The sequence below is a fragment of the Homo sapiens genome, chromosome 9 (assembly GCF_000001405.40).
Source record: "Homo sapiens chromosome 9, GRCh38.p14 Primary Assembly".
NCBI classification, from domain to species: Eukaryota; Metazoa; Chordata; class Mammalia; order Primates; family Hominidae; genus Homo; species Homo sapiens.
Genome location: NC_000009.12, coordinates 105,382,337 through 105,402,775, shown reverse-complemented (window position 1 = coordinate 105,402,775; position 20,439 = coordinate 105,382,337). Strand labels below are relative to the sequence as shown.

Sequence of the window (20,439 nt, the reverse complement as noted above, 5' to 3'; positions counted from 1 at the left end):
CATATTGCATGTTATTTCTTGTTAGCATAGAAGCACACCAATGGTTAGCATGACAATGTAGAAGAGTAGAGTTGGAGTCATTGAGAGGTTTGTCTACAACTACCTAAGCGACACACGCCTTTGTTATGTGGGGAGCTGAAAACCAGAAATCATTATCAGGGAGTGGAAAACATTTTTTGCTGGCACAGATAAATATTTTCAGGACCTCTAACTCTAATGGACTCCTTCCTATCACTACAGAGATTTTACAACAGTTAGCATGGAACAGAAAAGGTAAATATTTCCAATATTCAATGAAGTAGAGAATCAGAGCTTAGATGAATTTGACCATCTGGCAAAAGCCCCCATCTCTAAATGAAGAGATGGCACACGTCATCCTGAGTATAGGCCTTCATGATTTATTTTCCCTTTCCCTCCAATTTCATTAGTCACCAAGCCTGTTGGATTTCTCGCTGGAATCCTGCTCTTTTCCAGTCCTCCTCTTAGGCCCCGGCTCAGGCTTCCTTCCTCCCAAGTCTTTCTCTTCTAGATTTCCACTCTCAACGCAGTCTCCATATGGCTAGATTGCTCCTCTGCTTACAACCTGTCACAGGCTCCCCACAACACACACTTTAGGTCTGAACACACATGTAAGAGTCCTGTATCCTCTCCAGGGTCACCTCTTGGTGCAAACGCACATCTTCTTTGCTCTGGACATCCTGAATGACTTCTGTTCCTCATGTTGCTATATGAGTGCCAAAGTGCTTCTATTCTGGGTAGAATCACCCTCCCACCCCTTCATCATCTGGCTAATCCCTGCTTATCCTTCAAGACTCAGCTGAGACAGTTTCTCCTAATGACCTCAACACCTTCCTGTGTGCTCCAAAGCACTCTCTACTATCACTGCTCTCTGCGTCCCTCATTAGGCTGTGAGCTACTTAAGATCAGGGAGTATTTAGAACTGAGCTCCCAGAATATAACTCTGGCTGACCAGAAGAGGTCTCAGGAAATGCTTGTTGAATGAAAGTGGATACATTTAGCACGCTGCTGTGAGCATGCTTAGGAAATGCATCTGAAATGGGCCTCACACATCACAATTTCCAGGAAATGTGAGACGTGCATCTCCCTAATCCCCACCTATCATTTCCATCATCCTATTATTTCAAGTCTATCATTTCTATTATTTCTTCTAATCTTTCTAATTTTATCAGATCCTCTCCACTCCTCCTCCTGACCTTTCCCTGGTCTAATAATAATAAAAAAATCCTAAATCCATTTAGATTTGACTTAGATTTGTTTTCAAATTGAAAGCCCATTGTCCTAAATTACAATTTATTAAATGGACTCTTTCCTTCCTTATTCATTTTAGGTATATTCTATTTTAAGTATAATCCCTTATAAATAATACGATTTGTTTTGGAAACTTTCTCTTCTATTCCACTGGCCTATTATCACACTGGTTTAGTTACTATCATTTTATTATCTTACCCAGCTATTTGTGTTTAATATAATTTTTTCCTGTTAAAAACTATAGAGGAATATTTTAAATATACAAATAAGCAAAGGAAAAGCTAAAATTACTCATAGTCCCACAAAACAGAGATAACCATAATCATCATTTTTATGTAAATAGATGGCTTTCACAGCTGGCTTTCACTTAACCATTTTGCCAAATAAACCGATCTTTTCCAAGCTTCTGTAGAATGTACTGGCTGATGACTGTCGTATGCTGAATGCTCCTGGAGAGGGGCTTCCACTCAGAGGCCTGTGTTCTGTGTTCTCATTCTCAGCATCAGGAGGTTGTGCTAACAAGGGTCAGGTGTGTATATTTCAACATGTTATGCCAGGTGTAGTGGTTACACTACTGCCAGGATTATTTAAATATTACGTATATTGATAAAAACAATGAATATGAAAAGAGTAGTTTCTATAAAAATTAACCCTTTGAAAAGTTGAATACCTTGCAAAGGTTCAATAAAGGTAAGTGCTAAAACTACTACTCTCAAGTTATGTGTAGGTGAGAAATACAAACATTGCAAAGAAATTATAAAAACTATAAAAAACCTGGGAACCTATATTCAGTGGGCTTTGTAAGCATTTCTAAATTTTTTAATCCATTTTAATAAATCAATATTTCATATTATTGCACTTTCGGGAGGTTACATTATTGGTGTCTTTAATGTCAAAGACAGTAGACAACTTCAGAAGAGTCAGGAGTCAGAAAGAAGAATATACCTATGTCAACAATTGGCCAATAAACATTGACATGTTGTAGTTTAAAACAATTTTCTTTTTCTTTTTCTTTTTTTGAGATGGCGTCTTGCTCTGTCACCAGGCTGGAGTGCAGTGGCACAATCTCGGCTCACTGCAACCTCCACCTCGCTGGTTCAAGCGATTCTCCTGCCTCAGCCTCCCGAGTAGCTGGGACTACAGGCATGCGCCACCACACTCAGCTAATTTTTGTATTTTTAGTAGAGACGGGGTTTCACCATGTTGGCCAGGACGGTCTCGATCTTTTGATCTGGTGATCCACCTGCCTCAGCCTCCCAAAGTGCTGGGATTACAGGCATGAGCCACCGCGCCCAGCCTTCTTTTTCTTTTGAGACGGAGTTTCACTCTTGCTGCCCGGGCTGCAGTGCAATGGCACGATCTCGGCTCACCGCAACGTATGCCTCCCGGGTTCAAGCAATTCTCCTGCCTCAGCCTCCTGAGTAGCTGGGATTACAGGCAGGTGACACCGTGCCCGGATAATTCTGTATTTTTGGTAGAGACGGGGTTTCTCCATGTTGGTCAGGCTGGTCTCAAACACCTTACCTCAGGTGATCCACCCATGTCGGCCACCCAAAATGCTGGGATTACAGGCATGAGCCACTGCACCTGGCCAAAAATTTTCATTTTCAATGATTCTCCTCCTTAACCCAGTTTTTCAATTAACCAGTTAACTACCAGTGCCTACAGGACTGAGAGAGCACCTACTATATTTTAAGATGTCTAAGAAAATTTATTTCATATAAATGAGATCATGCATTGCTTGAGCCCCTGCTTTCTTCACTATTATAAACATTAATCCAATGTATTAAATATTATTTACATTATTGTGAATGCCTGCCCAGTCCTTCCTATTGAACTTTTATTTATGCTTTTTAAAATTTAACATTAAATATGTACCTTTCTTGATTTCCTCTTTGACAGGACTAACAGGAAGCTTGGAATTTAGTCATATGCCTAGCCTGGGATTCTTACATAGCTAATCTCCTTTTCTCAATTTTTTTTCAATTTGCTTATTACACAACTTGTGTGTGTGTGTGTTAAAATTGTTTTATTTTGTTGTAAGCTGTGAGAATCCTTTCTGGAAGATGGAGTGAGTTGACCAACCTTAAATACCTAATAGCCTGTCTCCCAATGTGAGGTTACAGGATGCAACCTGAGATTGACTGAAAGCCGCTTTGTTTTGCCTCGAAGGCAGTTCCTTACTGTTGCCTCTCTAGTCTGACAGTCCTGGCCAGGGAGCTTGTAAGTACCTAGAGTGCTTTAAGTTTTCTATTGAAATTGCTGATAAGCCCATGAAATGGTCTAATAGCTTAGCTTTACTTTTTCTGGAATCCTAAATTTAACCTAGGTGAATCTGCTAAAATTATTTTTCTTGGAATTGGGACAGTAAATGAGGCACATCAAATTAAAAGCATAAAGCATTTCTTATTTTCACTACTACTTGCCACAAGTGAAAAAACAATGTGTAGAGCAAGCTTGTCCAACCCACGGCCCGCGAGACGCATGCAGCCCAGGACAGCTTTGAATGCAGCCTGACACAAATTCGTAAACTTTTTAAAAAGATTTTTTGTGTGTGCGATTTTTTTTTCTTAGCTTATCAGCTATGGTTAGTGTTAGCGTATTTTATGTGCGGCCCAAGACAATTCTTCCTCTTCCAGTGTGGCCCAGGAAAGCCAAAAGATTGGACACCCCTGGTAGAGGCAGAAACTCACTGGGTTAGTTCCACAGCATCTGATCAAAGATATGAGGCCAAAGAGCCTCTCGAGGTACTGGCTTCTTTCTGAACCCTTCAACATGTGTAAGAGTTTTGAGCTGTACAGCTATTTAAAGCAGCTAAAATTTTAATCACTACTTACATATTAAGATAGGGTGTGTAAGTTTTGTGCCTCCTGAAAGAATCCTCTAGATTTTTATTTCCTTCAATTTGAGGTTAAATACAGAGTACGCTTTCCATAGTCAAACAGAAAGAAAAGACTTTCAGGTACCTTTCAGATGTGAGGCTTTTCACAGGCTCTTTAATCATTAGGTGGTCTATATAATAGAAATTACGTAAATCTGCATCAGAACCACTCAAAAAAAGAAAGAACAGTCCAGATCGGTTAATATTCTACAGAATCTCAAATTCCTCCAGTGTTTAAGACTCCTCACGATTATTCTGTAACAACTCTTTTTGGCAGGATGGTGTAAACAACCAGGACTATCATCAGCTCACATTTGCTAATAAAAGGCAGTTTACAGTGCAGCCTCTCAAGAAAAATCCAAAATAACAAAACAAATTAGGAGAGGTTTACGGTATTCCAAAAGGTCTTCCACTTAAGAAGAACATCCCTTCCTTCGTCCCTAACATTACCTAAAATTATTGGTTTTTAAAAAGCTTGATTTTTCTAAACTTTAAATGGGGCACAGCTACTGCCTAAATGATGGCACACCACACAGTTTCACAAACGCACTAAACTCATTACAGATCCAGGCTCCAATTCACGTGCAGGGCACTGAACCAGGCACAATGAATGTCTTCCATGATGGACACTGTCCAGCGGAGGCTTTTCTTTTCTTTTTTTCTTTTTTTTTTTTTTCTGAGACCGAGTCTCGCTATGACCCCCAGGCTGGAGTGCGGTGATGCGATCTTGGCTCACTGCAAGCTCCGCCTCCCGGGTTCAGGCCATTCTCCTGCCTCAGTCTCCCGAGTAGCTGGGACTACAGGCGCCCGCCACCACGCCCGGCTTATTTTTTTGTATTTTTTTTAGTAGAGACGGGGTTTCACCGTGTTAGCCAGGATGGTCTCGATCTCCTCATCTTGTGATCTGTCCGCCTCGGCCTCCCAAAGTGCTGGGATTACAGGCGTGAGCCACCACGCCCGGCCCAGTGGAGGCTTTTCTACTCTGCCTGATGATTGAGTTCAGTTGCAATCTTAGCATTCACGCGGCAACTCAGACTCCAGCTATGAAGCCTGGCCTGGCAGTGGATGAACTTTGTACTTCAGAAATTGGTTTAGGTACATTTATAGTTGCTATTCCGAAGCCCCCAGAACATGCTGCGAGAGACAGAAAGGAACAGCTGGGAAATTCTGGGGCACCCTTGCAGCATACTGACCTAATTTGAAACGAAGATGTTGCCCATGATTTTATCAGTCACCACCCTGGGCATGGGGAAGTGTTACAACACAGTAGACAATAACATTCTTTCCTATAAAATTTTATTTATTACATAAAAAATTCTATACATTTGTTAGACTAAAATACAGTTTTCATTATAATTCTGGCAACTGAGTCAGTACACAGAGAAAACTTAGCATTAGATCAGCACTTTTCTTTCTAGTTCGTATTTCTGCACAAGAAAAACATTTCAAAGCTCCGTTTCATATAGGCTGATTGTTCTCTGAAGCCAGATGGAATTCCATCCAATTCAGAGCTCTTGGAAGTTAATTTCCCAGCAAGATTTGATAACTCCAACTCCAGAAAGTTAATTGCTTAATATACATATTTTTAAAGTCCTCTGAGAGCATAATGCTCCATCTGCAAAGTCTGCACTGTGTCAATAATGACCGTCACAAATACTAGGGCTACAACTGTGTCTGTGGGGCATGTTCAAGCACCTACATGTTTGTTCCCCCACATGAATACAGTGTAGTGACACTGTAATAAGAAAAAAATCCAAAATAATGGTAAGGTAAATGATTCCAAACTATGAATTCATGGAAGGCTTAACTGTGATCCTCCAGTTTATAATGGACAAAGACAAGACAAGATACAAAAATTCATTTTGGCACTATGAAATAGGATGCAAATGGCAAAAAAAAAAAAAGACAAAAAGGCATCAGATTGAGAAATATGTGGCACCAAAACATACTTCTCATGCCACATTACACAGCTGCGAGAAATCAAGACACACCGATGTGTGTTTTCTGCTCATATCACCCCATATGCTGGGCTGGGCTTGACACTGGATGTGAAGACTCAGTGCCTGAGAGATCAATAGCAGGTCCCTACTGTATTGACTGATCTTTAAATTTGGCCGCCTTATTATTCTAGGAGCTCTATTCTAAACTCAAGGAGTTCAGAAAGGCTGTGCCAGCCAGTAAGTAAAGTTGGACCTTTGGTCTTCAGAAGATAGGGTTTTGTCTTTGGTTGTTTTTTGAAGCCCCTGTCATTTTGCTTGATGCCCTTCACACTTTTCTCCCTGCCTTTTTGTTAAAGTTTTTTTCTCCTGTAATAAAATCAGTTAATAACCACTGAACTAACTTCTTTAGATTAAAGCTCTATTAGAAGTGCATTCAGTGGTCCAGAATATTCTGAGAAAGTATAACAACTTCTTTCATTATGGAGCTCTCAGTATCTTTTTATAGGGAAGAAGTCAGAAAACTCCAACAACACAACACAATCTAGTAGCATTAAGGCAACACAGCAGAAGAAAAGTTAACTGTCCCCATGTGATCATCTCTGAAAATCAAAATAGGCAAAAACAATAGGGGCCAAAAACCAAGTTCTGAGCACAGACTACAGGAACCTAGAGGATGGGGGAAAATCTACTTAATAGTCCCTGTTTCAAATCACCAGCCCCCAAAGCTATCCTATTATTGTCACATTCCTGTGGGGTATCTAATACAATTTACAAAAAAAAAAAAAAAGTCACCACCGGATTATCAACATGGTAAATGAAGAAGGAGCTCACATTTTCTAGTGGCAACTAGAATGATCCATGGAACCCATTCTATCTGCCCAATTATTCCCAAGTCTTCTTTTCAATGTCTACTTTTTTTTTACTCATATGATTTAACACATGCTCCTGAAACGACAGTTCAAATTATAATCCTAGCTGACAGGATGGGTGGATCAGATTCATACACGAAGGTCAGAATATTCCCTTTAAGTCTTACACTTCTGTGACAAAAGGGCATATCACATTTAGATACTTAGACTGGACTTACGCCCTTTTCTATCCAACATGGGAATTTCCACCAGTGGTCTCTGCATTTACTACTGTGGAAGGTTCATTAAAACTCTTCTAGGCCGGGCGCGGTGGCTCATGCCTGTAATCCCAGCACTTTGGGAGGCTGAGGCGGGTGGATCACCTGAGGTCAGGAGTTCGAGATTGGCCTGGCCAACGTGGTGAAACCCCGTCTCTACTAAAAATACAAAAATTAGCTGGGTGTGGTGGCACATGCCTGTGGTCCCAGCTACTCAGGAGGCTGATGCAGGAGAATCACTTGAACCTGGGAGGTGGAGGTTGCAGTGAGCTAAGATTGAGCCACTGCACTCTAAGCTGGCGATAGAGCGAGACTCCGTCTCAAAAAAACACCAAAAACAAACAAAAAAAACCCCCAAACTTTTCTAGGAGTGTGGGGTGGGGTAGGGGGCTGACTTTTCTCCTTTCTTCACCAGCCAGTTATATTTCCACTTTCTTCAGCCTGAAAAAGTAGGAAATGGTTTGATGCCTGACTATAAGTCATGAGCCACTGGGATCAAATTTCACAAGAACTTCAAACCCCTTGATGAGTTTCTGCCTGCTTTTTCAAGGGCCCAGGGAGCCTTCCATGTAGATGCAGCACCCTTACCTAATAGTAAGGTGCAGATGTGAAGAAATCCACATGCTTCCCTAAAGAAGATAGAGTAGGTAAGGGACTGGGGGTGGAGTTCTATTGGCAGAGGAATCTGAAGCTGCTCTAGTGGGTGACTGGAAAACACTAAAACAGAACACACCTCCGTGATTTATGCAGGAAGAAAAAACATCTTTTGCATTTCTACCTTCAGCATCTGCTCCTCCAACTTTCTACCAAATTTATTTTTTGCCAACTATGGACTACCCTTGAGTTTGCTAATTTATCATCATCTTCAACTGTTGTTGGAACTGGACATGTTGACAAATATATTTTAAGACAGTAGTATACTGATAACACTAAGCCACATAATGTCATAATGTCATAGCTGAGCTACAATAAAAAGAATCAAGTGTTTTGGTAGATGGATTAATTACAAGGATTCCCTATTTATTTCTTCTTGGATATTTTTTTTTTTTTGGCTCACTGCAAATAATCTGGTACCTTGCCCCCAAATAACCGCCAGGACACACACACACACACACAAACACACACACACACACACACACATACACACCCTCATACCTCCAAGGAAAGAAAATCTTACTGTCATGAAGATTCAGTGTTGATCATCTTGTTATTCCTTCAGATTAGTGTGGTTTCTATTCCCTAACCTGCTACTAAATTACATAAAGTCTTTAAGTTATAAAAATGATTCCAGGTCAGAAGGTGGTAAGCATCATCTCAAAAGTATCTCTAGTGGAGGCCTAATCACTTCCTCATTTCAAAACACATTATCAGAACAACTTTAGAGCAGCCTTTTGACTTGGGTTCATTAGCCCCTGAGGGGGTACAGGGGTGGAAGCTGGCCGTCTGAGGGCCCTGAAATTCTATGAGCATTTTGAGTGTTCACAGACATGTGATGTGCATTTGAAGGAAAGATAGTCCATAGCTTTCTTAAGCTCAAAGAGACCCATTGTCTCTTCAAAATAACTTGTTTTTGAATATCAAATATTAAATTCAGGTCTTAGCAAATAAAAGTGAGAAATTTCTGAGACATTTGTAAATTACAATGTTTCCATGTTCAACTAGATCTTCACTAGACCATTAATAAAAGCTTTATTATTCTGAGCTCCGTGTCCTGGAGAAAATCATTTAAGTTGTAAAACTGAGCATCAAAACTGAAGAATAGCCTAATAGGTCTCGAACAATCTCACATGTTTTTCACAAATTTACTAACGAATTTCCTTAGAACACATTCTGTCCATATAATTTACAAAGTGGCAATTGTTCATGCAATATTGAAACTGAATCATCATTTGTCTTTACATGTACAAAATCAAGATGGGAAGAAAGGGCACTACAGTATTTCTATAGAAAAGAAAGGTTTTCCACAGAAATCAGTAAGTTTAAAAACTGCATTAAAGTTTTCTATAAGAAAGATATTTTCAAAGATTTAAATCTTGGATTAAAATTATCCTTTTAAAATTAAAACATGGAGTATAAGAATTTGGCTCAAATGTATGAAATCTGAATGGAAAAAGTGTGCTATTCTAAATTCATAACTGTACACGACGTGTAATTTTTGTTTTGTTTTTTAAGTTTGCTAGCTTTAGATTTTCTCTTGGCATATTCAAGGGTCTTGCTTTTTAAAAATTTGGACTATGTGCCACTAAGTTAACAAAGATGAGTTAATTCCAAGAAGCTACTGTGTATGAATAGTGCCTACTTTTCAAAAGGGCTAACATGCATTCTTAGCACACAAAGATACATGAATATGCATTTAAAGCAAAAGGCAGCCTACGCTGTGAATACAGAATACACAAATATCTGCGTTACGCTTTTACTTATGAACCCACATTTTTTCAATATACATTCACAGACCACTTCTTACCAGTTCTAGGCAAGCCATTATAGTGCACTCGTATGTGTCAGATGGAATGTATGAAAAGAATACAGAAATTAACTGTGGCAGGTGCACTGATAAGCCTCCAGACTCTGAGAGTTTTATTTGTTGTTGTTGTTTTTTTTTTAAAGTAGCAGTAGAAAAGCAGTAAAGAACTTACTTATTGAAAAGCGAAAGCTTAAAGACCTTTCTGGAGGAAACTTCTCAGAGGCCATGTTAAGGCTATTGGAAAGTCCAATTTAAATGACAAGGTTACTGACCAAAAATCAAATAAAATATTCAAGTCACCATTACTGGCAGTTCTGGTTTTGGAACTGATCCCAGAATTCTACCTTGCAGGCTAGGAGATCTCTTAAAATGGCTGTTAGTAGCTAGTAATAGTGCATGGTGGAAATAGTTGAAGCCTCAGGGGCAGTGATGTGGCCTCACACATATGTGGTGCCTGCAGTTCCTGTAGCTGTTTTGAAGAGGGAGGGAGAGGTATTAACTCTGCTCTAAAGCAGTTTGGGTCCAGAATAAAGGGGTCAGTGCCTCATACCCCCTACTAGGGTGAAATCCTAAAACTGCCCAGGGAAGGCAAGGAAGCCCTTGGCAGATACCAAGATCAGTGGTATTGGAAATAACTTACAATCAGCAGCCTAATGCCCTCACGGAAAAAAAAAAAAAAAAAAAAAAAAAAAGAGAGAGAGAGAGAGAGCATCTCTACAAAAGAAAAACATTTCTAGCATAACTTTAAAATAAACTCAGTAAGTGCCTCCTCCTTAACCATTATAGAAAAAGTTTGGGTACCAACATACAGTTAAGCTACTTAAGTTGTAGTGACTTAGGACTTAATTATCTTATAGGATAAAATAAAAACTTTAATCCTAAACATTAGCCATTGCATTAAATGCTTTAAAGGAACAACTGGCTTTGAGCTCTGCTCATCCATGCAAGGATTATACAATCTCAGTGCTCTAGCTAAATTGCTAATGTTTTATTACTAATGCACTGGTAAGCCTCTCATAGAAGATGGGTCTCTTGGATTTACACTGAAATATAACTTTTCTCTTCCATATTATGGAAGACCTTATTCTTCAGGCAGGAGCTTAGAAAGTCTAAATTATGCACCAGAGCCTTAATTATCTGATGGCAAAAACCACGATACTCTGGTCACTACTACAATTGACAATAGAGGACCCCAATTAAAACTCTAGAAATATGAGTCCTGAATACAGTTTTGAAGATTCACCACAGAAGAAGACAAAAACCACCACATAGAATCAATGATTTATGAAATTATTCGGGTATCCACATTTCACAGAGAAATTTCTGTTCTTCATCTATTCTTCTCACTTGGGCAGAAGATGGAAGCAGTGAGCGAATAGCAATAAGGCAGCCCATAGCTAGCTGAAGAATGACTTGAAATGAATGAAAAGAGGCAGCAGGAATATCCAAACATAACCTCAACACATTTAAATATTGCTTAAAATCCTCTGTGAGGCTTTATCAAATTAATCAAGGAATAAAGCTCATGAAAGAGTGATATTCCACATATTAAATATCTCTCTGTGTGTGCCTGTGTAATGCATATCTGCATATTTCTACACGGCACATGAATTTACTTAAGGAAAACAGCCTGGCAATTAATTTGCAACTCAAATGACATGGTTACACATAGATTATAATTTCTAAACACAATGTTAGTAAAACAAAATTTATTTGTAAAACAGGACCTGTTATATAAAATGGCACACAATCAAGTTATACAAAAATACAAAATTTCTTTCTGATTACAGTTCTAGTTGCAAATGATAATTAGAAAGCATTCCTGGTAGCTTCCAAATAGCTGAGATTGCGAGCATATGGAACAGGGAGCAGCAACAGTCCATGATGCAGGGATGTCCAAGTGAGTAGAACCTAATTTCCAAGTTCAGGACTTCCATCAGGTCACTTTGGAGGGACACCTCTTAAAATTGCTAGCTCCTGGAATGTCTTCTGTTTTGATACCCATCTTCTAGACTTTTGCCAATTCTAAATTTAGTTCCCAATGTTTGTGAAAGTCCAAAATCTGTGCGGCTATGAAACAGATGGTATTCTGAATTTTCTCACATGATTTGCTCTCTCATCTATTTGGACAATTGTTAGTTATATAATTATATTCATTTCAAATGAATAAAAGAGAACAGCGATACTGTTTGGTGATACTAGATATTAGATGTTAACTTCTGGAGAATTATTCTTTCAAAATAGCTACTCTCGCAATGTTGGTTTCCCAGATCTTGCTAAGACATGAGCTCTTAATTGTGTGTATGCATGTGTTTTTTAAAATCCAGACTCTTATTGCAAATATTCTGAAAAATCAGAAATATTACATGAACTTTTAAAAGAAACCAAGGCATTTAGCAAATTTTAGCCTAGCTAGAGTAAAGAACACCAATACTTAAAAAAAAATACAATTTACCTTTTGCAGCAATTTAAAGGTCCAACCCTTTGAAAGGAAGCACATTAGCAAACGGCTGCTTATTAAGCCCTAGTGACATTACTTGTATGCATTTCCATAATACCGATCTAATTCACTGTCTAGTTCTGGTAGGAGGCAATGCTTTCTTTCAAAAGATTCTCCTTCCATGGAATGATAAAATGCTGAGGCTTTTTTTTTTTTTTTTTTTTTGTACAGAGCCTGTATTTAGTGCAATAAGTTTAAAAAATTTGCTCTGAAATATTTACTTTACATTAACAAAAATAGCTTTTTTTAAAAAAATTGTAACAAAAAGGAGTTATCGCATAAACAGATCATGAATTATTCTTAGCAAATTACACTTTTTTTTCTTAAAGCATTCACCATTACAACAAGCAGAACAATGGAGTATTAGCCATTCATATCTGGTAAGCTTCAGGAATAAAAAAGCAAAAAACCCCAAACCCACCCCCAAACAAAAACAACAGTCACACTGGAGGATCAAAACATTAGCCAATTCTTCAGTTAAACATCGTAGAACTCTGGATACTCAATGAATTGCCAAGGAGAGGAGCACCTGCCAGTGTGTTTTCAGATTGTATAGCAAGCATTTGAATAAAATGGCCGTTTAACCCTAAGCCACTGACGTTACTCTGAAGCCGAAGCCCAAGCACCGGAATTTTCAATGCTTTATGTTCCATGTTTCTGTCCCTTCTTTATTCCTCCCAGCATTACTTAATCTGCAAATCAATACACAGAAACTTAAAGGCTAAACTCGCTGGGTGCCCCAGCTTCCTTTCAAATCAGGCACACAAATGTGTGGAGGATGCTACTAAAGTCAAAAAGGAAAGAAAGACAAAATATAAGGGAAAAGTTTGCATACGAAAGATTATCTACCCTTTTCTTTTTTTACCTACTTTCTTTTAAAGAAGCGTTAGGGTAAACTACAAATACCTGAGGAGTTGGTTACCTTTTAATGTTGGCTGACAAATGTATGAACTATTATGAAAATTCCCATATTGGGCCCAATTGTATGTTTCTAAAAGTAAAATGACATGGCTTCTTTGATTGGGGAAAACTGATTGGAGTAATTCCTTATTTATCTGAAAGCATATGCCTAGTCTTGACCCACTAGGACTTATGCATCAGTAAAATAAGATCTTGATTTTATACAGACATCAGGGAAATTACCCCTGAATAAACTTTAGACATAATTAGGTACAATAATTTTACCTATTTTTAAATAAAGTTAAAATCTCCTCTAAGTTATTAAAAATGTTAATCAGATATGAATTTTAACATTTCCATTAAGACAATTACAGTTGAAAACATTAAATGACGGAAGTTGCCTTGTAAAAGCCACCCGTATGAAAGGAGTACATGTTTGACAAAAATAAGCATAAAAAAGGTATTAAATCCCTGTTCCTTTTCTCTGATTTTGGCTGATTTATGTGTGTGTGTGTATATACATATACATATATACACACATACATATACATATATACACACACCCACACACACAAATACATAGTTATGTGTATATATTGTTTTGGAATGTCAATGGGTTTCCATAACCGTCGGCTAGGTTCAAGCAGAACTTGCTCCCGAAGCCTAGAAAACAAAGTCATACAGAGTATAATCTTAGACAATTACCATTAAAAGGAGATCATGAATGATGTTACAAATATACACATGGTCACAAACAGCAAGACAGCAAAATGGACTGAGAATCCTTCTCCCCTGAATTCCTGGAGCTGAAATTCTTATGAATGTTGAAAGTCACACTTTATCCAGGATCATCTCTGAGATACACAGAGCATACTTCTCTGGCCCATGTTCCTACAGTGTCTAGGATTTTTCCTCCCTTTTCTCTTTAAGTTCTTTCCTATATGATAGCAAGCAGACAGTCAGAAAATCTCTTTCCTAAACCTCTTCATCACTTTTGGTACATTTTTCCAAAATCACTTTCAGAGAATCATAAAAAAATTCATAAATCTTTAAAGTTTCCTTAACTAGCGAGCCTCTCTCAGGGAAAAGTTCAAGAACAAAACCGGAAGTTCTCATGTTTAGTTCAATGATCTGCTGTCAAAAGGAAAATATAAAACCTCATTTTACTGAACATTATTTTATAGGCTAAAAATGAAGCCTAAATTAAAATATCTCATTGAGGAGGGAGGAAGATAGTGAATTCAAACAGCAGCAATGTTTCTAGAGCTAATGCAAAATAGGCATGATGCTCTTTTATAGAACTTTCATCTACAGCAACAATATGTGAATTATATCAAGCAAATACAAATAAGCAATCCTAAATTCTATCAATCCCCAAACTTTCAGTAGAAATTTCTGAAATACTTTTTTAGAAACACATGCAAAGGAATGGTGTTAGTAGGGGCCAACTCTAATCATGCATACTATGGAAGAGAAATAAAGAAGGTACTAAGGTGCTGAAAAAATAAAACTACTCTGTGAGCAGCATTTCACACTTGTCTTCTGGGAACTTTTTAACCATTTAAAACATCATTCTTAGGGACCCAATGCTACAATGTCCAAAGCACCAGAACAATGCACATAGAAGATGTATTTTGGGATGCAGCAGAGGGTTTTTGCCATTAATCTGCAAGCAATGAACTGATGAACAGCATAAAATGAAAGCAAAAATTAAATAAAGATTTTAATGCATTGTTTGAAGTAAGGGACACTATTTCAAAACTGAAAATACTAATAGGAAACAACTCTTTCTAAAATATTTGGCATCTGGTAGAATGCCACATAACCTGGGCAATTCTCCCAGGATTATTACCTATAAATTAGGAGTTTAGGTAAGGAAAGTATACTTGCATTCTGATCTACTACAATTCATCTACCATTCATTAAAGAATACTATAGAAATCTGTGCCAACTCATGGCCACATTACCTAGTCTTCAACCTCGAAATATTTCTCCCTTTCTTTAAATGCTTATTACTGAATGATGTAATGAAAGCTTCAATCACTAGAAAGACAGAAAAGGGGGAAAAGCTTGGTTTATATTTTAAGATTTCATATGTCTTGTTAAGTTTTGGGCTTAGAATCGATTTGCTGAACAATTAGGACCTCCAAGCAGTAGAAGGAAGGAAGCCTTCCTCATTTCTCCATGTTGCCATAGGGTTGGCAGAATCTCCACTGCTGCCCTCCTCAGCTTTTGTGAAATAAGAGGGATACAGAAAGGTGTGGAGGGCAGGCATGGAACCTGATGGGAAGATTACTGGTGTGCCTCCATCTGCCCAAGCAATCATGTCTAGGTGATGCAAACTTAAAATTCAGAGCTATGTGGGTACTAGAGTGATCTGTGCTCTGGGATTCTAAACATTTAAATTTGATTTTATAATTATTCATGCTATTAAGTAAGAGTAACACCAAAATAGGCACTGGAAAGGGTTACAGAGGAAAGGTTTTATATCTAAATATTTTATTGAGGCTTTAACTTAGGTTGAATATGCGATTAGTTTGAATATACATATAGCCTCCCTGCCTCCCTCCAAAAATAAACCTATTTCCTTTACTCTTAATTAAATGAGCTTATTTTATATCATATATATATATATTTTTTTTTTTTTTTTTTTTTTTGAGATGGAGTCTCGCTCTGTCGCCCAGGCTGGAATGCAATGGCGCCATCTTGGCTCACTGCAACCTCTGCCTCCCAGGTTCAAGCAATTCTCCTGCTTCAGCCTCCCAAGTAACTCGGATTATAGGCACACGCCGCCATGCCCAGCTAATTTTTTTTTTTTTTTTTTTTTGGTATTTTAGTAGAGACAGGGTTTCACCGTTTTGCCCAGGCTGGTCTCAAACTGCTGAGCTCAGGCAATCCACCTGCCTCGGCCTCCCAAAGTGCTAGGATTACAGACATGAGCCACCATGCCTAGCCTACTTAAATGAACTTATTTTATAGCATATATTTTAAAGTTGAAAACCTACAAATCAGGGGTATCCAATCTTTTGGCTTCCCCAGGCCATCCTGGAAGAAGAATTGTCTTGGGCCACATATAAAATACATTAAGGATAGCTGATGGGCTTAAAAAAAAAAAGGCAAAAAATCTCATGTTTTAATAAAGTTTACGAATTTGTGTTGAAAGCCTTCCTAAGCCATATGCGGCCCACAGGCAGCAAGTTGGACAAACTTGCTATAAATCAAATCATTTACTAAAGTGTAAAGAAGACAGAAAGGAAAGTCCTTACCTCACACTTTTGAACATTATATGCAGTCAGGGGACACATTGTTTAAAATTATTTAAGGATGCAGACAATTATATAATATTTGAAAATAAACATGCTATTTAAAAAAATACGTGTTTAAATTAGGAAGTAATTAGACCAATATATGATAGAGGCATCTGTTTCTATGCTATAGTGACAATATCCATGTGAAAAGCAGCTCAAGGTTCTCTTACACTCATTAAGCTGCTTTTTTCAAATAAAAGTGGAGTAGAGAGATATATTTGTGTACATATACATATATAATATCAACTACCAGAAATAATTTATCCATCTCACAATTAAACTGGGAGAAGACTAGATTGTCTTACTGAGTGGGAATGTGGGTATTGATGAAAACAGCCTTGTTTGCTACTGAAAAATAGCTTAAGAAACAAAGAAAGTACAACCTAGGCAACAGAAGAAAAAGTCAGCCAAGGGAAAAGGACAGCAATGTAAGCAGAACCATACTTTTAAAAGGGGGAGTATGAATTTTAGCAAGTTGAAAGGAATTGCTATGATCACCTTCCAAAATGATAAAAATCAAACCGTCAGTTCAAGTGTACACCAAAATGTTCAGTCTGATGAAAGCCAAACACTGACAGTTAAAAAGGAAACAAGAGCAACAGCAGTTTTACCTTAGGGAAAAAACCATCATCCCCTACCCGCCCCTGCCGAGCACTGACGAGGATGCTGTTCCTTTCAGCTTACTTTTATAGAAGGTGGTCTCAGTTGTGACAAGAATTCTGCCATCCAAGTGATGGGTAAGCACACAAACAGAAAGAGCAGCATGTCCTGCGTGATACAGATAACAAAAGCTTCTCCTGAAGAAGTGCAGTCAGTGAAGACAGAGAGAGAGAGGAAGTGAAAGTGAAATTCTTGGAGGGCGGCCACCTCCTCATCTCCACCTACCATCGGCTTTAGCTCTCTGGAATCAGCGACGCCTCCCTTACCAGCTTCTTTCATTGCTTTCCTACTGTTTTCCACAAACTCCTGCAAAATATGGACCATATTGAATAAATTCTTGGGTCCTTTCAGATTTGTTAGTAGATGAATTCTAAAGAACATCTACATTTTTGACTCAATCTTGGTAAATGGATGGCTTAAAAACATAGCAATAAATAATGTTTAGTATCACACATGAGAGTTGCTAAATTTGTAGAAATGGACTCTGCAATTCGCTGATTAAAAAAATCTTCTTTCCATCCATTCATTGTGACAATCTTACTAAGGCTCCAAGAGATAATGTTAGTTCTACCTGGAAGAGAAAATACCTAACATTTTTAAGAGGCTATTTTCTCATACTCAGAATATCATTTTATTTGTTGTTGTTGTTTTTTTCTATATCAAGGTTAAATGAAACAACAAGAACACGTTACTCCATAAGCCTCCACTTTTAAATAACCATAGAAGGTAAAAGAACACATTGATACTGCTAAGCACATAATGCTTTTTTTCTTAACCAAACCATAAACAAACTACTCTTTTTAAAAAAAGTGTCAATCTGACCATGACATTACTTCATGAAGCAGGAAGACAGGGTGTATCAACCAGAACCTATGGTTAGTAGTAGTCGAAATGGGAATGTGCCCAAAGGGAACATTTCTATTCTGTCAACGTTTACGGGGAACTTCTTCATTAAATATCCTCACCATTCCTACAGAGAAAACTGAAGGGTGGAAAACAGTTATTTTTTACTCTGCTTTTGATCAGTGACTTAAAAAACAGTAACACTCTTCTAAATGCTTTAGTCACAAAAGAGATACAATAATCATGATCAAATTCCATTAAGAAAATAACCAGTTAGAATTAGTTTAGACATTAAGAAAATGTCCAGAATTTAGCTGATGTTGCCAGAAAAAGAGAAAATCAGTGCCAAATAGGTCAGCTAAATCATTTGGAATTCTTGCTATTGAAAAGAAAAAAAAAATCTAGGCTGGGCATGGAGGCTCACACCTGTAATCCCAGCATTTTGGAAGGCCGAGGCAGGCAGATCACCTGAGGACAGGAGTTCAAGACCGGCCTGGCCAACATGGTAAAACCCCATCTCTACTAAAAATACAAAAATTAGCCAGGAGTGGTGGCACATGCATGTAATCCCAGCTATTTGGGAGGCTGAGGGAGAACTGCTTGAACCTGGGAGGTAGAGGTTGCAGAGCCAAGACCATGCCACTGCACTGCAGTCTGGGTGACAAAGCAAGACTCCGTCTCAAAAAGAAAAAAAAAAAAATCTAGCTTATTTATTAATACACTTATTTTAGATTTAACTGGATAAAATATGCTCCTGGAAAATGACTTGTTATTTCAATGTATAATGCTTAGTATTCAATATTACCCATTTTGAGATAGAAATATTTCACAGCTTAATAGCAAACTACTATTATTTAGAAAGCATCTTTACTTTGGTAACATTTAACACTGATTATAACAGTACTTAAACCATTTAATAAGGTTTTCAAAATTTTAAAGAAATTTAATTGAGGTTCTAATATGAAAAATCTGCATATATCTGTGTAAAGGTTCAGATCTTGACTAATAAATAACTATACACTCTACCAGTCATGGGTCTGTTATCGGTATTCATCACAAAATGCTTTCAATTTGGCCTACCATATTTAAGATAATGAGTTTTAACCAGGGTTGACAGCAGTAATGTTTGGGGCAGTGGTGGATAGAGAAAGACAGGTAGGCACTAGGACCTGGGAAACAGGATATTTTGTCTTTGAGCCCCATTTCAGGAAAAGGCTAGAAGCTAGTTTAAAAAGTCAATTCAAATCTATCTAACTACAGAGAGAGGGGCAGCAAGAATAGGGTGAACTTAGGACTATTAACCAGTACTGCTCTAGCTAGGTGGATCTGAAATGATCTTGTCCATGCCAAGAAGCCGTCCTCCCTGACTTACCCTAGATTAACCTCATTTATGAGTCAGTGCTATGGGGTTAATTCTAAATTACTCAGTTGCATATAGTGTGAATTAAATATAGAGAATGTTTTACAAAATATTTTTATTGGTATTTTTATCCCTAAAATAGGAAACGGCATTTGAAGTACTTACCATCAGCACTTTATCCATATAGAATTCTCTGCCAGGGCTCCCATCATTGTATTTTGTATCAATGGCAAAACACAAGAATAATACATCCACTACCATTTCATAAATAGACAGGAAGCAATGAGCGACTAGGAAAGCAAAGAGGCAGACGATGATCAGAGGCAGCACCCATACTGTGTAGTCCTGCTGGTAGTTGAGCAGCATAATCCCAGCTAAACCTGTGCTGCAGACTATCAGCACCTGAAGCAGAGAGAACAAAGATCATATTTAATATCCTACTGAAGAAAGCCACTCTTTTTTCACCATTTGCAGACTTAAAATTCTACTATTTATAAATGATGGTTGCATGAGGCCATTCCATCTCAAATGAGGAAATATAATCCACATATTCTCATATACACCCAGAGTTATACATGCTTATCATATAATATAAATTTTAAAATCATACTTTAAATGATTCTGGTTTAAACATAATTAAGTTTTCCAAATGCTATGCTGCACCCTAAAACTTAATCTATTTAGAATCTGTGGCAATTTTTAAGATAAATGTATGCATATTTTAGAAAAAATTTACAAACTCTTAGCACTCAGAAAAAAAGTGATATTTCAGTGTAATGGTATGTATTTTTTCTAAGCATTTTCACATATATGAAATAGTATTATATAAACAAATCACTATAAGCTTTTCATTAATATACATAGAAGTATCATTATAAATGCTTCATATTTACTCAGCTACATAATTTCATTTTATGAGTGATTTAAAATACATGTAACCATTCTCTTACTGTTAGAGATTTATATTGTTTTCAGATATAAATAATGCTGCAACAAACATGTATAGTCTTAGAACTTTTTCTGTGTTTCGTATTTTATTTCACATAGAATATGTGGTAAATATAATTTGCCATGAAGTGTATATTTGGACTCTCTGTGAAGAAAGAGGTTGCCAAAAACATCCATGCTAAAAGAATAAAAGAAATAGCCAATTTAGTTATTGTCAAGAACCACCCACTCTGATGCTTA

The 20,439-nt window shown here is 37.6% G+C and overlaps 1 protein-coding gene across 8 annotated transcripts in view; it reads right to left on the bottom strand.

The window, feature by feature from the left end:
- SLC44A1 (solute carrier family 44 member 1) overlaps positions 1 to 20,439 on the bottom strand; it is a 193,854-nt gene that overhangs the window by 35,729 nt on the left and 137,686 nt on the right. For 3 of the 8 annotated variants that reach the window (NM_080546.5, XM_006717028.4, XM_047423117.1), the window contains 3 exons: positions 19,417 to 19,653; positions 17,274 to 17,354; positions 5,430 to 13,743 (listed from right to left, as the gene is read on the bottom strand). In NM_080546.5, coding sequence (NP_536856.2) covers positions 13,720 to 13,743; positions 17,274 to 17,354; positions 19,417 to 19,653 — 342 coding nt within the window. In that variant the 3' untranslated portion in view covers positions 5,430 to 13,719. Of the gene's footprint in view, positions 1 to 5,429; positions 13,744 to 17,063; positions 17,355 to 19,416; positions 19,654 to 20,439 lie in introns of those variants that run through there. The other 5 variants (NM_001330731.2, XM_006717029.4, XM_005251855.5 and 2 more) reach the window with 3 other exon arrangements.